Source organism: Homo sapiens, chromosome 14 (assembly GCF_000001405.40).
Source record: "Homo sapiens chromosome 14, GRCh38.p14 Primary Assembly".
Lineage (NCBI taxonomy): Eukaryota > Metazoa > Chordata > Mammalia > Primates > Hominidae > Homo > Homo sapiens.
In genome coordinates, this window is record NC_000014.9 from 105,997,669 (window position 1) to 106,017,040 (window position 19,372).

The 19,372-nt window shown below is 45.4% G+C and overlaps 1 pseudogene, 2 gene segments (V, D, J or C) and 1 further gene; all 4 read right to left on the reverse strand.

Moving 5' to 3' along the window:
* The window catches only part of IGH (immunoglobulin heavy locus), a 1,293,408-nt gene that overhangs the window by 411,232 nt on the left and 862,804 nt on the right, over positions 1-19,372 (reverse strand).
* IGHVIII-2-1 (immunoglobulin heavy variable (III)-2-1 (pseudogene)) lies at positions 3,866-4,167 on the reverse strand (annotated as a pseudogene). Its single transcript is given in 1 exon segment — positions 3,866-4,167. A coding segment is annotated over 1 exon segment (302 nt).
* Positions 7,427-7,864, reverse strand: IGHV1-3 (immunoglobulin heavy variable 1-3). The segment is given in 2 exon segments: positions 7,427-7,733; positions 7,819-7,864. Coding segments are annotated over 2 exon segments (353 nt in total), but the record flags the coding sequence as incomplete, so codon positions are not given.
* Positions 14,254-14,688, reverse strand: IGHV4-4 (immunoglobulin heavy variable 4-4). The segment is given in 2 exon segments: positions 14,254-14,560; positions 14,643-14,688. Coding segments are annotated over 2 exon segments (353 nt in total), but the record flags the coding sequence as incomplete, so codon positions are not given.

A 19,372-nucleotide genomic window follows, 5' to 3' on the forward strand; every position in this document is an offset into this window, starting at 1 on the left:
TTTAACATGATAAATTTGGATTAATATAACTACGTAATTTAATAATATATTTTAAACTTCATAGTTGTACACACAGACACACACACACACGCACACATACACAACAGCCCAGCAATGACACATATACCCGTCCATGCAAAAATGAATGTATATTAAACACCAAAACAACACACCCATTTTTTTCTATATTATTTTAATTATTTAATTGAATGTAACTCGTATTTGCAGTTTCATTTTTGAATGAATGTAAATGCCATTCTTGCCAAATATATTACTTAAGTGTACAATGGTATTTACTTTTTTTTTTTTTTGAGACAGAGTTTTGGTCTTGTCGCCCAGGCTGGAGTGCAATGGCGTGTTCTCGGCTCACCGCAACCTCCGCCTCCCAGGTTCAAGCGATTCTCCTGCCTCAGCTTCCCCGCCACGCCCAGCTAATTTTGTATTTTTAGTAGAGAGGGGGTTTCTCCATGTTGGTCAGGCTGGTCTCGAATTCCCGACCTCAGGTGATCCACCCACCTCACCCTCCCAAAGTGCTGAGATTACAGGCGTGAGCCACTGCGCCCAGCCAGTATTTACTTTTTAAATATCAGTCAGTTATTAATAAATTGAATAACTAATAAGACAAACATCACTTAAATTTTTATTAAATCATTGATTAAAGTAACATTGTATTTTTTTAAACTAGGCAGGATAGAACTTTTCTATTTGAAAAATTTTTTAAAAAACTTTTTGGCGTTAATTTTCAATACAAACTCTAGTCGTTATTTGCCAATATGCCTTTATAATAAAGAACATCCAGCAATAGGAAACTGAAAGCAGCCCATGCTTTGCAGGATTCAATCACAATGGCAGCTTGCTGGAGGGTGGTCTGAGACTGGGCAAACACATTAGGGATTTGGACTTCATGAAAGCACTACTGAGCCCCTGGGCTGAGCACACAGAGGGTAGCATAAGTTGCAGAGCCTAGTCTGTGGTACTTAGGGAAAAAGAGGAATGGGTGGGGGTTATGTCTGCAGGACCCTAGAAAAGTGTGATGAGGGCAGAGGGTCTGCAGGTAGAGTGTATTCTAAGGAGAACTGTTACTCTCCTAAACTTGGTTGGCTTCAGTGATCATGAAAAGAAGTGAACTGATTTACCAGACATGGAGGACAGGAAGTAAAAGGACTTCCTGTTTCCTGCATGGAGACTGAGGAAGATAAAATATTTTGACAGAAAAAGAGAAGATGGAGAAAGTTTGAGAAGCAGAACACCAGGGGCCAAAGTGGAGGACAGGAGCCCTTAAAGTGGTGTTTCATCTGCACAAACAGCCGATGAAAGGAAAAGAAACTGGACCCCATGCATATGCTGAGTTGTTAGAAAAGCATTTACAATAGTGTGTCTGACAGCACAGAAAACAAAAAAATTGTGCATAGAGCCAGACTTTGGATTGAATATACACAATTAAAAAAAATATACTGAGATATATCATTGCTAGTATAACTCTGAAAATAGGCAGAGTTAAAAGTTGAATTGAACCCCTGTTCTAAGTTAATGTTTTATAGGTGAAAGAAACCATGAGTTACAAGGAAGACATCGTAAGAGATCCTGGGGAAGACTTTTGCTTGACCAGGTCAGGAATCACCAAGGTGGAAAAGGAAACCTCATCCTCCCCAGGTACCTGATATGGAGCTGCCTCCAAAGAGCCCCTTGGAGGTCCTGAGTGCTCCCTGGTGTCCTGAGCCATTCTTGCTGTCCTGAACACCCACTGGTGGTTCCTGAGTGCCCCCTGGTGGTTCTGAGCACCCCCTGGTTTTCTGAGCGACCTCTGGTGTCCTGAGCCCCCCCTGGTGGTTCCTCAGTGCCTACTAGTGTCCTGAGCGCCCCCTGGTGGTTCTGAGCACCCCTTGGTGTCCTCAGTGCCCCCTGGTGGTTCCTGAACCTCCCCTGGTTTCCTGGGCACCCTCTGGTTTCCTGAGCGACCCCTGGTGTCCTGGGTGACCCCTGGTGGTTCCTGAGCGCCCCCTAGTGTCCTGAGCATCCCCTGGTGGTTCCTGAGCGACCCCTGGTGTCCTGAGCATCCCCTGGTGTCCTGAGCGCCCCCTGGTGGTCCTGAGCATGCCCTGGTGGTTCTGACTGCCCACTGGTGTCGTGAGCGCCCCCTGGTGGTTCCTGAGCGCCCCTAGTGTCCTGAGCATCCCCTGGTGTCCTGAGCGCCCCCTGGTGGTTCTGAGCATGCCCTGGTGGTTCTGACTGCCCGCTGGTGTCGTGAGCGCCCCCTGGTGGTTCCTGAGCATCCCCTGGTTTTCTGAGTGTCCTCCGGTGGTTCTGAGCACCCGCTAGTTTCCTGAGCATCCCCTGGTGGTTCTGAGAATCCTCTGGTGTCCTGAGCACCCCCTGGCAGTTCTGAGTGCCCCCTGGTGTCTTGGTCACATCCTGTGGTTCTCAGCACCCCCTTGCCACAGTCTCATGAGTGCCCCTTGGTGTCCTGAGCGCCCCCTGGTGCTTCTGAGCACCCTCTGGTGTTCTGAGCACCCCCTGCTTCTTCTGAGCGCCCCCTGGCGGTTCTGAGCGCCCCCTAGTGTCCTGAGCGCCCCCTGGCGGTTCTGAGTGCCTCCTGGTGTCCTGAGCACCCCCTGGTGGTTCTGAGCGCCCCCTAGTGTCCTGAGCGCCCCCTGGCGGTTCCGAGTGCCCCCTGGTATCCTGAGCTATCCCTGGTGGTTCTGAGTGCTCCCTTGTGTCCTGAGCGCCCCCTAGTGATTCATAGCACCTCCTAGTGTTCTGAGCGCCCCCTGGTGTCCTGAGCACCTCCTGGTGGTTCTGAGCACCCCCTGGTGTCCTGAGTGCCTCCTGGTGGTTCTGTGCACCCTCCCTGATGGTCCTGAGTGCCCCCTGGTGGTTCTGAGCGCCCCCTGGTGTCCTGAGCCCCTCCTGGTGGTTCTGTGCACCCTCCCTGATGGTCCTGAGTGCCCCCTGGTGTCCTGAGCTATCCCTGGTGGTTCTGAGTGCTCCCTTGAGTCCTGAGCGCCCCCTAGTGATTCATAGCACCTCCTAGTGTTCTGAGCACCCCCTGGTGTCCTGAGCCCCTCCTGGTGGTTCTGTGCACCCTCCCTGATGGTCCTGAGTGCCCCCTGGTGGTTCTGAGCGCCCCCTGGTGTCCTGAGCCCCTCCTGGTGGTTCTGTGCACCCTCCCTGATGGTCCTGAGTGCCCCCTGGCGGTTCTGAGTGCCCCCTGGTGTCCTGAGCTATCCCTGGTGGTTCTGAGTGCTCCCTTGAGTCCTGAGCGCCCCCTAGTGATTCATAGCACCTCCTAGTGTTCTGAGCACCCCCTGGTGTCCTGAGCCCCTCCTGGTGGTTCTGTGCACCCTCCCTGATGGTCCTGAGTGCCCCCTGGTGGTTCTGAGCGCCCCCTGGTGTCCTGAGCCCCTCCTGGTGGTTCTGTGCACCCTCCCTGATGGTCCTGAGTGCCCCCTGGTGGTTCTGAGCGCCCCCTGGTGTCCTGAGCCCCTCCTGGTGGTTCTGTGCACCCTCCCTGATGGTCCTGAGTGCCCCCTGGTGGTTCTGAGCGCCCCCTGGTGTCCTGAGCCCCTCCTGGTGGTTCTGTGCACCCTCCCTGATGGTCCTGAGTGCCCCCTGGTGGTTCTGAGCGCCCCCTGGTGTCCTGAGCCCCTCCTGGTGGTTCTGTGCACCCTCCCTGATGGTCCTGAGTGCCCCCTGGTGGTTCTGAGCGCCCCCTGGTGTCCTGAGCCCCTCCTGGTGGTTCTGTGCACCCTCCCTGATGGTTCTGAGTGCCCCCTGGTGGTTCTGAGCAGCATCTACCACATAGTCCCCTCCTGTCTCCCTGCGGTGAGCTTTGTGTCTGGGCTCACACAGGGTTTCCCTCACTGTGTCACTCACAGTAATACATGACCTTGTCCTTGGCTTTCAGATTGGTCATTGTAAGGCAGACTGCACTTAAAAGGGTGTTGCTTGAGATTGTTAATTTATTTGTACTCATGGAGAGTAACCCTGAGAATTCATACTTGATCACTCACTGTTGGCACCCACACCTATCCCTGTTGTGAAGCATGCTGGACCAAGCTCATGCTGTAACCAGTAAAGGTGAAACCAGAGGCTTTGCAGGAGAGTCTCACCACTGGGCTGTAAAATTTTTCCCCCTCTGACTCCATCAGTAAACTTCACACAGGACTTCCGTGAACACAGAAAACAGACTGAGAACAGCCCCGTGAGGAGAAGCCACAGCTGGACCTGATTTACGAAGGACACTAATATTGACGGGGATGAGAAGGGAATCCAGATCAATGCAGACCCCACGGTGTGGACACTGAGGAAGGGCACAGACATGGGGTGGCTCCTCGCCAGGGCCTGAGGGAACAGGGGATGAGCTGCCTTTCATGAGAAGTGGAGGGGACACATTTCCACGTCTTTCTTTTTGTGGTCATGGGTGCACTGCTCAGCATTGCTCATCCATCCTCTGTGTCTACATTTCAGGGAAGTCAAGGTCAAAGGATTTCTGGGTCTGGATGCACAGAGTTAATCTGCCCATTACTCTTTTTTATTCTCTAATGTGGACACTGTTGGGGTATCTTCATAATAGCAAACATTATCAACAAATATGTCCAGTAAGAACATAAAAATACGTTTCCAGAGAAAATGGACACCTGTCTCTAATTGGTATATTTAGAGCTGCAAACTACTGTTCTTGACAATAAGGCAAAGTTAGGTTACAATGAAAAAAATACAGATCTACGCCTTGTCAGGGAGGGGGTTTATGATTATCATTATCTTGAGATCATTTTGCCACAGAACAATTCGACATTGGATATATGTACTTGTGTAAGGAAACAGTAAATGTGGACATATGTGTACTTATGTGAGTGAAGAGTTCACATGGAGACATGTTTGCTTGTCTGAGACAAGAGTCCACATGAGGAAATGTCTGTTTTCTGAGGAAAGAGTAAATGTAAGAACATATGTGGTAGTCTGAGGAAAGAGTCCACGTGGGGACATGTGTGTTTGTCTGAGAGAAGAATCCACGTGAGTAAAGGTGCGTTTGTCTGACAGAAGAGTCCACATGTTGACAGATGTGTGTACCCATCTGAGGGTAAATGCCCATTCAGGGACAGTGTATGCCTGAACTGAGCTGAAGTTTGGGGAAATATTTCTCAACCAAGGAAAGAAAATAATCCTGTCGGTTATTTGCTTGTCAAGAGGAAAAAACCTGGGTCACATAGAAAATTGATTTAAAAAAAAATTTAAAAAATTAAAGGTCTTTAGTGAATGGCAACATCTTATATGCAAATCAGGAAAATTACCTCATTCTTTGTTGCATACATCTCATGAAATCTCCACCCTCACAAAATAAGTAATGAGATAATTTTATACAATCTGCATTTGATCCTTGGGTTAATGAACTGCTAAATTTTTTTTAATTGTATATATTTAGGTTTATATTTTCCATCACAAAACTATGTGCTTAGACAAATTAATTGTGTCATATCTGAACCATTGCATATCACTAAAAATAATTTTAATCTTCTTAAACAGTGTCTTTTTAACTTATTTTATACCCAGTCTCTAAACTCCTCGAATATCCTCTATATGTTGTTGTTTACTTGACTACAGTTTTGGCTTTTATAGAATTTCAAATAAATCAAATTATACAGTGTCATTGAAATGACTTCACTGAAGAAAGTGGAAAATGAAGTTGCTGACCTAAGGAACTTTGAAAATGAGGAAACTCTGTAAGTTTAAAGTGTAAAGAAACTGAACATAAGCACTCTATTCTAGTAGATAAACATGTTTCCTACAAGGGTACAGCTTTACATTTCTGATACTGCTATGCATGTGTCCTGAAATTGTGCAGCTAAGTAATAAAATGGCATATGGTTGGATGGGGTTCCTCATTTTGCAGTGAGAGGTTATAGACAGTCAAGGAAGGAAGGCTAGAAAGATCCATGTGGTAGCATAATTGGGTAGAGAGACCAGTGTGTTCTCATTTTTAATGTAATCACATTACAGAAGGTTAGATACATAGTTTACTAGGCCAGTTGGTTGAGAGGTCCTGCAAGTACTTATACCACATTAACAATGCACATACCCAGTATTACAATTTTTTAAATACTATTCTTTAACATCAGAAGCAAGCAATCTTTAGAAAAATGGCTGATTCTATGTATGAAAAAGATAATATAGAAAATGAGTTTAGAATTTATTATAATAGCAGGAAACAGGGAAGTGTTCAAAAACAAAAGCATGAGGTGAGCTGTAAGGATGCAGGATCCAAACTCAATGAGCTCCCAGCACATAATAAAGCCATGGTGGTTTGAAAAATAAAATGAATAATGTAGCATGGATCTTCTTCAGAGTATGAAATAGACATCCATAAACCAATACACATATTAATAAGTGATCAAATAAAGAAATAATAGGAAGAGGAACACATCTTTTTACAGAAGTATTCCAAATATGTTAGGTTGATAGTCCTCCAATCAAGTAGGTGAAGCTTAAACACTCATGAGATGATTGTAGCCTGAGATTAGAGACATGGAAAAAGTAATTGATATTACTGTATTTTATAATGAGATTTCAGATATAATACCAAAGACATGATCTGTGGATGAATAACATTTTACATTTTTAAAATCTAAATTTGTATAAACACACACACACACACACACACACTTTTCTGCAATACATACTGATAAGGGAGTAAAAGACAGCCGCAGACTTGGAGAAAATACTTCCAAGTCACATATTTGTTAAATGAATTCTTTTAATTTGTTAAATGATTTTATAATCAATATGCAAGTAAACTTACAACTAATCAAAAGAAAACAATGCAGTTAAAAATGAACCAAATATGAGAAGAGGCATCTCGGCAAAAATTATATGAAAATTGTTAAATGTGAATTTTTATTACGGAAATGTGCATTTAACTAAAAATTAGATACCATTACTCACCTATTAGAATGGTTAAAACACACAATTCTCATAATGATAAATGGCAATATGAATGTGGAAAACCAAGAACTATCATGCATTGATGGTGGGAATTCAAAATGCTACATGCACAAAATGAGTTTTTTTGGCATTTTTAATAATAGAGATAAAAGTAGAGATAAAATGTGATTTGTGTGTGTGTTCCAAAATATTTACAACACTGATTCAGAAATTGATGTTTACACAGATACCTACAGAGGAAGTTCTGTATCAGTTTTATTAATTCAATCCCTGAAATTTGCTTGCAGAATAAATATTGTATGAAAAATCTCTCAAATAATTAAAATTTCTCAAATACATGTTTATATTGTTCCTTTTCCTTAATGACTTAATATCATTTTCTGAGAAAGTCTTCAATCTAATAATCTTTGTCATTTCCTCCATGCCAGCACAGCTGCTTCCCCCCTGGGGTTTCTGACACTCTCAGGATGTGGGTTTTCACACTGTGTCTCTCGCACAGTAATACACAGCCGTGTCTTCAGATCTCAGGCTGCTCAGCTCCATGTAGGCTGTGCTCGCGGATGTGTCCCTGGTAATGGTGACTCTGCCCTGGAACTTCTGTGAATATTTTGTGTTACCATTGCCAGCGTTGATCCATCCCATCCACTCAAGCCTTTGTCCGGGGGCCTGGCGCACCCAATGCATAGCATAGCTAGTGAAGGTGTATCCAGAAGCCTTGCAGGAAACCTTCACTGAGGCCCCAGGCTTCTTCACCTCAGCCCCAGACTGCACAAGCTGGACCTGGGAGTGGGCACCTGTAGAGAAGACACAGGAGTGGATGGAATTCCCCTTGACTGGCCTCGATCCCTTCCTCCTCACTGGGATTTGGCAGCCCCTTACCTGTGGCTGCTGCCACCAAAAAGAGGATCCTCCAGGTCCAGTCCATGGTGAGGCGTTGTGCTCTGGGGGCTTCTGAGGAGGGATGTGGTTGTTGGGTGATGCTCTCAGGGCACAAAGATATCTATAGTCATCTCAGTTATTTGCATATTCATGAGCGATGCTATTTCATACCTAACACAGCATGAGAAAGAGTGGAGAGATGACACATGGATTACCCAACAGGAGGATGCTAAGGGTTCAAGCTATAATCCCCTTAGAGGCCATGTGTGCCCTGCCATATCCCTAAGCTGTATGTTGACAGAGCTTCTCCCACTGGAGAACAATTTTCCCTAGAACAGGACTTCACTGGGAACCCACACTTGAATAGCTCAGAGGTAATTTAAAGTATTTCTAGGCTTTAATACATGAATGTGTTATTTGGGGGATGAGTGTGTTTCTCCAAAAGTTGCACTTATTTATATAAAATAAAAGCTTAATTGACCTCCAGATGCTTACTATTAAGATATGTAGCAGGGTTAGAAATCTCCAGTGTAAATTGATAAATTCTTGCAATTGAATAGGATATTTATGGACTCTTCAGCAGTTTTTGTCAAATACTTATTTTAGATTTTTTTAGAAGAATGACACAGATCTTAAGGGGACTCCATCCGCAGCCTCCTGTGCACCTGCTCTGGGGCTGGAGCCTGTGCTGGGTGGGCCTTGAGCGCCCCCTGCAGCCCAGCCCTTGCACTGCAGAGAGGCTCCTGTCTGGGCTCCCAGAGCATTTTCCCCCCAGTATGAAGTGGCTGTGTCCTGGCTCAGAATGCTCCTTTAGTGACACGTGACACCATGTGCTGCTGACGCCATCGCTTGCAATAGTAAATTGGTCGTAGGAAAAAGCCAGTGAACTCTGCAGAAACACCCCAAGCAAGGATTCTATGAAACCACCAGGGAGCCCCTTCTGTGGCGCTCCGGAAGCACTGGATCAGTCCACACTCACAGTGAGTCCAGGAGCTTCCAGGGGCTTTGGGAGAACACCTAATCTCTTGTCGGTTCCTGTGGATGAACATCTCATCAGATAATTTCTAAACCTACAAAATCATGGGTCTCAGAAGCCACTGCAAAACTCCTAATACACACACACACACACACACACACACACACACACACACGGTGGTTAGAGTCCCCACAGTAATGGACACACACACACACACACACACACACACACACTGTGTCTAGTGTCCTCACAGTAATGGGAGGGAACTGTGCCTTACTCCCTGTGTCTCGCGCATTGGTCGTGCGCCCACAGTGCCCCTAGGCCTGGGGATATGCCCTTGTCAACAGAGCGACAGCAAACACTTTACTGGAGATGGGGCCCTGCACACACTGTGGCTTCCCTGTTCTCCCAGAACCTGGGATCCTGCAGATACCCCTAAGAAGAGTCCAGGCTCCCCCTGGGAGGGTCAGCCACAGCCCAGCCCCACCGAGTCGGTGCAGCCTGCACTGAGCCGCTGACCTGTGGAGAGGGTCACGCCAGACCCACAGCCCAGCCAGCCCCACTCCCAGAGGCACATCAAGGAAGGGGGCAGAACCCTGGGGACTCTTGATGGGCATCTTTTCAGGAGCAGACACACGAACTGTTCCAGGAACAGGGGACCTGGGAAGGTCAGTAGCTGGTCAGGGTTTCTGAGGACCAGCGTCAGTGATGGGACCTGCCTGTCCCTTCTCATATGGGATGTCTCTCCTGGGGATCCTGTACTGTCTTATTTGTGCAGGTTCACTCTGTGGGACTTGTCTTTATAAATCTCAAATCTCAGGAACAGGAGAGCTGTGCTTCAAAAGCCCCCATAGAGAAGACACATTCCCATCCTGCTGTGACTGAAACAGCTCCATCCTGGGCATGGGGAGGGCTCATGTGTCCCACCTGGGATGAGAAGCAGCAGCCACACGTGAGCTGAGGAGGACTCAAGGCTGCTTCCCAGCACTTCCCCACAGAGTGAAATTTGTGTGTTTGCCCCAAATCCAGGCTGGCCCTGTGACTTGCTTCTTTCAAACTTCTTGGCCTGGAAAGTGCAGGCACCAGCTGTCACTGTCACCACTATTGTGACAGTGTACACAGCACCAGGACAGGATCCCAGGGATGGGGCTGAGGACAGACACTAGCTAAGTGGACCCATTGAAAACGTGCGGATCTGCTGAGGTTCACACTCCTGGAAGGACAGATCTTGGAGGGTTTGGAGGAGGAAGCAGCCACTGTCGGTGACTCAGGATCTGCTGCTCTGCGGGTCACCTCGTTGGCAAGTAACAGTGGGCAGGTGAGTGTGGTTCATCCCCTACAGGGACACCAGGCTTCCAAATGCCCCTCTTCACCAGGAAAGAAAGTGGCTTTGTTCATACTGGTTGCTCCAGCCGTCTGGTCATCCTGTCTTCCTGACCTTCTTCCCGTGTCCCTCAGGGCTGTGACACATGGACAAAGACACTTTCTACTCCAACCATTGATTCCCCAAGCCAGCTCCCTCTAGAAAAGCCATGATGTCTTCCTGGTTCTGTGTCCCTGGCTGAACCAGAATGGACACACATGGATATACCAAAGTGTCAAAGTGGAGGAGAGGAATCTTGGCAAAGATCACTCAGGAAAGAGAAAGGAATTCATTTGTGTGCAATGAGAGGGTGTGGGGCATGTCTGGAGGCTGCAGGAGCCAGAAGCTTCATATTTTTTTAGTGACCTCGGTTTTGTCTCCCCTGTTGTTGTGAGGCTTCCCTGAGTTCTCCTCCTCAGATAGACTCTGTGCCTTTTCACGCAATGACCTATAGGAGATGTTTACACCAAACAAAAAGCCTCAAACCTGGTTTATATTCTGATCTAAATTTTCAAAAGATAAACCCAAGAGAGATTCAAAGAAGTGATTATAAAATATCAGGATATAGCACTTGGCTGAGAAAACCTTAAACTCATATTATTTTTATGAACCATATGCATAACAAAACTGCCCAATTCCTCCACTTTATCAGAGACTGCCTGCAGGATGAATTTCAATGCCACCTAATTTAGAGTAGGAGCAAAACTTAAAATCCTCTGTAGGTCTGAGTGCCACTAATAACAACAACAACAAAAAATTTCAACCATTATGAAGTTTTAAGAGATGCCACAATGACAGCCTGGGTTGATAGGTGATGGCATTTTCCCTGGGCATATTCTGTGAAGAGTGATTACGGTAGCTTTTTCTTCTAATGAGGAGAAAGCAACAGAGAAAGTAAAAAATAATAATAATAACAATAATCACAAAACAGAAAAAAGTGGTCCAAATTATTTAACAAAAAAAGCACTAGAAACTGACACAAATTAAAAGGAGATACATTGATTACCTAGCAGAAAATTCAAAGTAAACCTTATAAATATGTTCACTGAGCTAGGAGAAGAATGCACGCACAACATGAAAATATTAACAGGGACAAAAAAGGGAGAGAGATGAGATACGATGATTTGTGGCTTAACAGTAGGGATACACTGGCCAGGCGCAGTGGCTCACGCTTGTAATCCCAGCACTTTGGGAGGGCAAAGTGGGTGGATCATGTAGGTCACGAGTTCAAGACCAGCCAGGGCAACATGGTGAAATCCCATCTCTACTAAAAAATAGAAAAAAAGAATTAGCTGGGCGTGGTGGTTCATGCCTGTAATCCCAGCTACTCGGAAGGCTGAGGCAGGAGAATCGCTTGAGCCTGGGAGGCGGAGGTTGCAGTGAGCCAAGATTGTGCCACTGCACTCCAGCCTGGGTGACAGAGTGAGACTCCATCTAAAAAAAAATGAAAAACAGTAGGAATACATCTGAGCAATGTGTCCTTAGGCAATTTGTCATTGTGCAAGGATCATAGAGTGTGTTTACACAAACCTACATGAAATACCTTGCTACACCCAGGCTGCGTGGGATAGCATAGTGCTCCTAGGTAACAAATCTGTATGTCATGTAAGTGTAGTGAATACTGTGGGCAGCTGAATCACCATGGTAGATGTTTATACAGATGAACATATCTAAGCATGGAAAAATGCGGTGAAAATACAGTATTATAATCTAATGAGACCTTTGTCCTGTAGGTGGCCTGTTGTTCACCGAAATATCATGATGTGCACGATTCTATTCAAGTTGCTGAAAATAAAAACAAAGCCAAGAAACTTCCAAATAAATATGTTACATGGATTAAAGCTTTTCTTCAATAATGCAGGAGGTTTGAGAAGTTTCCCAAAAAAGTAAAAAGTGGACAAGTTCATCACCACTAGACCGGCCTTACAGGAATGCTAAGTGTCTCTGGCAGGTTTCCAGAACAAGGAAGTAGCTGCATCAGCTCCACTCTGTTATCTGCCAATTGATAGATTTGCATAGTTTTTAATTTTAATTTATCTTCTGTTTTTTTCCCTCCATAAACTCCTTCTCCCTTCCTTTCATAATTCTGTCTATTAATGCAACTCATATTTAGCTGAAAATGCTGGGGTCATTGGAATAAATTTCTATTTTTCCTCCACCAAATCTAATAAGCTGTCTCCAGGGGTGTCCATCTCCGTTTTCTTTTCTGCCATTCCCATGGGATAATTTCCTTGTTCCTATGTGAGTCCAGCCCTCATCACCATGGGCCATCCAACCATCATGCACCCAGGAACAGCTTCAGGAAATGTACCCTGCCAGCTGCCTATCATCCTCCACCTGCACAGTGATCATTCCTTCAGCTTTCACTCATGCTGGAGGGCTTTCTACACAAAAGGGCATTTCACACCCACTCCCAGCACAGTTCTGGGACCCTGTATACCTCCCAGAGACAGGTACACATCCTTCCCCTTTGTTGTTAATTTTGTTTAATTTATTTAAAATTCACTGGGAAATCACTGATGATGGGGGTGACCAGCCTGTCCATTCCATCTGACGGCCCCACCTGTGAGGTTGGCCACCCTAGTGTGCTGTGCTCATGGGGCCATCTGGACACACACAAACACCAGGTGTGTGAGTTATTAGAGGAGACCCGGGGTCAGCAGGTGTCTGTGCCCCACAGGACACAGGTCTGTCCTGCAGTAGAGCCTGCATGACCTGGAATCATACATGTGCATGACCCGTGGTCTCAGCACATCAGTTGAGGCCAGCTTCAGGCAATTCCTGTGTAACCTGCCCTGAGTGCCCACAGAGGACAGATGCATGACAAGGATGTAAGGGAATGATGTGGGTTAGGGGAACTGAAGCTCAATCTTTACTGAGGCTTTACTCGGCACCTGGACCTTATGGAAGACTAAGAAGAAGAGAACAAGAGCCCGGCCCCAAATATCTCCTGGTTTAAGGTCAGCTTTAGTGGGATTTTAGAGAGTAGAAGACACAGGGGTGACGCTGGAGTGGTTTTCTTTGGGATACTTGGGGAGCAGCAGAAGGTGGGCCGGGATCAGGACTCCATCTGGCTGGTTCTCATGATCTACATGGATTCTCATAGTGGAAAGTGAGAGACATGACCTAGAACACAGCCCCCCAGGGCTGATCTCAGAGAAGCCTGCTAAGTGAATGACTCAGCAGAAATGTGGTGGGGTTTTCATCTTGGATCTATTTTTCTTTATAAAAATAATCTGAGAGATGTGTCAGCCTCGGTGGGCTGCTTCTCCCTCCAGGAGACGGAGCTAACACAATTGTATCTGTGAATCTGCTTGGCTTTCCATCAGAAGATACCACAGACTAGGTAGTTTCAAATAACAAATATTAATTTTCTTATTGTTCTGGAGTCTTGACGTCCAAGATCTGGGTGCAGAAAGGGTTAGTTTTTTGAGAGCCCTCTTCCAGGCTTGCAAAGGGCCACCTTCTCATGCAGCGCGTCCCCACATGGCCTCTCCTCTGTGTGCATGTGGAGAGAGAGGCCTCTGATGTCTTCCACTTCCCATAAGGACAAGAGTCCTACTGGATTAGGGTCCCACATTTATGACCACAGTTAACTTATTTGCCTTCTTAAAATCCCTCTCTCCAAATACAGAGCCACTGGGATTGGGGTTTCATCACATGAATTTAAGAGCAGGACACGATGCAGCCGATGACGCCAATCAAGAGATGGTGGGAAGCCTTGAAATATTTTTTCAAGAAGGTAAAATGGGCCTTGTGGGAATTTGTTGAAAAAAAGGTGCCAGTGACTGTTAAAACCTTAATGGTAAACAGAGAAATTTCTCCCTTCTTTCTTGCCTGCAGCGAGGATGTGAGGAAGCAGAACCACAGATAATAAAGAAAGAGGAGGCCTGGGGACAGCTGAGGTCCTGGCGAGGAGGGAGAGCACTGAGCTGATGAGGAAGCCCCGCCCTCCCTGCACCTGCTCCAGACCCGGCCTCTTGCTCTGTGGGCCCCGCGCGCCCCCTGCTGGCTCTGAGCAGCACCTGCGCCGGTCCCCTCCGCCTCCCTGCAGGGAGGTTTGTGTCTGGGCTCACACTCACCTCCCCTCACTGTGTCTCTCGCACAGTAATACACGGCCGTGTCCGCGGCGGTCACAGAGCTCAGCTTCAGGGAGAACTGGTTCTTGGACTTGTCTACTGATATGGTGACTCGACTCTTGAGGGACGGGTTGTAGTTGGTGCTCCCACTATGATAGATTTCCCCAATCCACTCCAGCCCCTTCCCTGGGGGCTGGCGGACCCAACTCCACCAGTTACTACTGCTGATGGAGCCACCAGAGACAGCGCAGGTGAGGGACAGGGTCCCCGAAGGCTTCACCAGTCCTGGGCCCGACTCCTGCAGCTGCACCTGAGACAGGACCCCTGTGAACAGAGAGACCCACAGTGAGCCCTGGGATCAGAGGCACCTCCCATACCCCCATGTCTGCAGCCTTGAGACACTCACATCTGGGAGCTGCCACCAGGAGGAGGAAGAACCACAGGTGTTTCATGTTCTTGTGCAGGAGGTCCATGACTCTCAGAAAGTATTTCCCATGTGAGCTGGACCCTGAATTTAAGGAAATGTGTGGTGGTTTCCTGTGGGTGCCTAAGTGAGGATTTGCATGTAGGTGGTGCCTTTGTATAAAGAGGTGAAAAGGGATGAGGGAGGCCCCAGTCTTTTAGGCTCGCCCTGGGATGAGGATGCTTGCTTTGCCCTTTGAGAACTCAGTTCTCTTCCTGGGGCCTCAACTAGCCATGCCCTGGCTCCTCTTTTCCCAGGTGAGGAAGTAGATTGGAACAGCAGCTTAACGTAATAATCATGTGAGTTCAGACACACCAGGATTCACTTAATGTATAGTTCGGGACCTCCATCATGTTTAGAGGGAATCTCTCTGTTCTAGGGAGTGGGCCATTTTTTTAAAATTTTTAAATTAAAATAAATTTTTTAGATGAACTTTTGCTCCTTTGCCCAGGCTAGAGTGCAGTGTCCCGATCTCGGCTCACCGCAACCTCCGCCTCCTGGGTTCAAGTGATTCTCCTGCCTCAGCCTCCCGAGTAGCTGGGAGTACAGGCACGCACAACCACCCCCGTCTAATTTTTATATTTTTAGTAGAGATAAGGTTTCACCATGTTGGCCAAGCTAGTCTCAATGTCCCGACCTCAGGTGATCCACTTGCCTTAGCCTCCCAAAATGCTGGGATTACAGGCCTGAGCCACCATTTTAACTAAGGCACTGGGAGCTGCCCTCTGAGACCTTTTGAGTCCTGGAATTCTTTCTGAGACCTTAGGAAAAACTCGTGGGACATATCTTCATCATTCTCAATGTGTGACCCTGAGGATGTGTCCTGACCTCTGTACACTTCTGTGTGAAAGAGTAGATTGTGAATTGCAGTGAAAATTTCATATGTAAACTCTATAATAGGTCAGCACTGGAGGATATTCTCATTACCAAGATTACTGCAGTTACCTTTCCTGGAAACCAGAGAGGAATTCTGTGAGCCCTCACCTCTGAGTGCACAAGGAACCCTGGTCCTGTCTGACAGGTCTCACATGTGACATGGGGGAAAACAGATACATTCAAGTCCAGTGTTTTCACCCATATATTGACCAATCTAGCCTGATCTATCTGTCTCTGAAAAGCCTTTTCCTTCATTGAATGCATGAACATACCCTTGGGTATGGGGTATTGCAATGTGGGTATTTGGTATTTGTTTAGTGAATTATGTAATTAATAGGCTACCTCCATGAATGTGTGTAACAGTAGAGTTATCAGAAGTTGGATGAGTCATATTATCAGGACAAACCTGGACTCTCTTCTTGGGACCTGGACAAGTGGCCAATCTTCTGTGGTAAAGCAAAGGGGAAGAGACAGATCCAACATCCAGAAGCAGGGTAGCTCCTCACTTACCAGCTGGTGTCTGAGACTTTTGTTAGAATAGATGAAAAACGACCTACCTTCACCTTCAGGGAAATGATGAACTTCGTATGAAATTGAGGTTAATTTTCACTTACAGAGAAGAAAATGTCATAGCCATGTATATATCTATGTGGGTGTGTACGGGTTTCCAGGATGTGTTCATACACAGAAAGGAAGCAGCTATATTTGCTGGGAAGAGAACCGAAGAGCTTCTGAATTTGTAGGTGTTGTTAACCACAAATGTGTCATGTTACTACATCGTGTCATAGTGCTGGTGGTAAAACCTCCCAAAATTGTCATGGAGACAAATGCAAAGAAATAAAGATTCAAATCAGATGCCTTTGGTCTGTAATGAACAGACCAAGAAATCAACCATTATGGAAAGAGTGATAGTTAAATGTAGTAGTAAATTCCACGCTGAGGTGAGAGGGAAGTTCCATCTGACAGCTCACTTTCACCTCTGGGAAGACTTCAGAGCACAGACTAAGAGCAGAGAGTGAACTTAGGGCAAGTGCGGTCAGATGTTTGAGGAGGATGGAGAGAGAGCTGGAATCCTTGTGAGCCATTCGGAGAAGCAGCAGTGTGCCAGGGTGTATTGAGTCCTCCTGAGTTAACAGGTGCTGAACAGATACCAGTTTCACTGCCCTCATTTTGATTTATCCTCAAGAGTCTATTGGATTTCTAGATTTGAACACTGGAAAAGTTGATGAAACTCAACATGACTAGGAATATTTCCGGGAAGATTTATGTAATGATGTGAGCGTATTTAAAATTAGGTTATGAAAATTTCATTATCTAAAATGTTGGTATCAGTATCTATTGATTTGTTCTATTTTTCTTAGAGACAGGGTCTTGCTCTGTCTCTCAGGCTGGAATGCAGTGTCATCTATGAATTTTATAGTATTAAAAATGATCGGCCGGGCGCGGTGGCTCACGCCTGTAATCCCAGCACTTTGGGAGGCCGAGGCGGGCGGATCACGAGGTCAGGAGATCGAGACCATCCCGGCTAAAACGGCGAAACCCCGTCTCTACTAAAAATACAAAAAATTAGCCGGGCGTAGTGGCGGGAGCCTGTAGTCCCAGCTACTTGGGAGGCTGAGGCAGGAGAATGGCGTGAACCCGGGAGGCGGAGCTTGCAGTGAGCCGAGATCCCGCCACTGCACTCCAGCCTGGACGACAGAGCGAGACTCCGTCTCAAAAAAAAAAAAAAAAAAAAAAAAATGATCACCCTGATTAATGTTACCGTATTATCCCCTTGAGGGATTTTGCTCCATGTGTGCCTGTGACATAGTTCTAGTCACAGATGCAGGAGAAGTGGTCTGTTGAGGCAATTCTTCCTCCTCAGAGGAGAATATAAACTATCATCTCCTCACCTTGCTTATTCCATTTTCAGAATTGCACACGACCTTTGGGAATGCTGTCGCCATGTCTTACACGGTGGGAGTCGACTGTGGCATGAAGCTGGACTGGAGATGTGCAATTTTAGGAAAATACAGAACCTGGGCACACAAAGTTTTGAACTAATTGGGCCTGGAGCCACTCACATCCTGGCATCTTGTTGAATTGTTTGTCATTTTAAATTCTGGTTATTTAGTTCAAGTTTCCTTGATTCTCTTTCTGCTAAAATAGTCATTCATAATCATCTAAATAAATTAAATTGGAAAAAAATTACTAATTTGAAAATTAACCTCGTTTCTGCTGAGGTCAAAATTAGTTTGAGGTGCACAGAGTGATGGGCATGGACATAGCAGATTACCAAGATTTCACTCACAGCCTAGGTAATCACTACATTTTATCTAAATTAGGAAACACTTCTGTACATTCCTTATATTTATTAAACTCCTGTTGAGAAACTTCAACTGTTATATGTTGATGGATCCTGCCCAATAATAAAACTAAATGTTTTTAAACACGAATTCCTATTACAATGTTAGCTTTACTTTAGGACACATTTCTTCACCTCATTTCAAATTGGCCCAGATGCACTGATTAGAGCGTGTCAGTTAAGAAACGACCAGGAAATGAGATCACGTTTCTGGAGCAGGACATGGCTTTGGGATGCTTTGCAAACGAAGTGGTTTCTCATGTCTTCTTGAAAATCCATTGAAATGGGCAAGTTAAGGACCTCTTAGAAGCACTCTTCCATCCCATATACTTGACTAATAAAAAGGTGGAAGTCAGTGCGGAAAAATAGATAACATGAAAGCTAAAGTAAGATTTGTACCAGTTCATTGCGCCAAACATGTAATCTTAACCTAGAGTAGGATCTTATCTGAACCCTCAGGAGGTAAATTTCCTGAGAGATTCAAAGATGTCTTTATAAAATAACAACACTTAGCCCCCGATTTTATGTTAAAATAATGGAAAACTCCTGGTAATCTACTTCACTCAGTGTAAATCAGTTAAAAACAAAATTCTGGAAAACCTGTGAAGGTGGGACTTGCCGAGGAACTGAGCCTTGGGGGCCTTTGGACACTTTTAGTTGGATTTTCTTCAGCTTTGACTCTCCATGGAATTTGAACAAGTTTCGTTTACTGTCTGCTGTTTTTCTGAATGACTTGAAGTAATTACTTGACAAAAGCCTACAACCTTCTCAGTTGATAGACATATTTTATGTTTTCGACCTGTGACATGCCGATGTTTTCATCAGGTAACTGAAGCACACCCACTACAGGAAGCAACTGTTATAAAGTGATTCTGTAAGGTGTTTCCATTACTCAAATGCTAAACTGCTATTACCAGCAACAATATTCTGTAAATGTTGAAAAAAATGGCATTGCTACGTAGAATTAATCACAAATTTTAAAACTTTTTCATATATTATTTATTGTTTAAATTCATAAGCATGGAATGTTTATTTTTCCATTTATTTGTTTTATCTCTGATTTTTTTCACATGTGTTTTGCTGTTTTTCTAGTAGAGATATTTCATCTCATTGGCTTAACTCTATTCCTAGGTATTCCACTGTCTTGATGGCTATTGGGAGAGCATGTTCTTGATTCCACTCTCAGCCAGAACGTTGTTGGTGACTAGAAAGGTTACTGTGATTTTCGTACATTGATTTTATATCCTGAAACATTCCTAAACGAATGTATCAATACTAGGAGACTTTTGGCAGAGCCTTCAATATTTTCTACATATAGAATCATATTATCAGTGAAAACAGAGGGTTTGCATTCTTCTTTTTCTTTTATTTGGATGCCTTTTATTTCTTTCTCTTGCCTGATCTGGTGAATACTTCCAGTACTAGGCTGAATAGAAGTGGTGAGAGCGGGCAT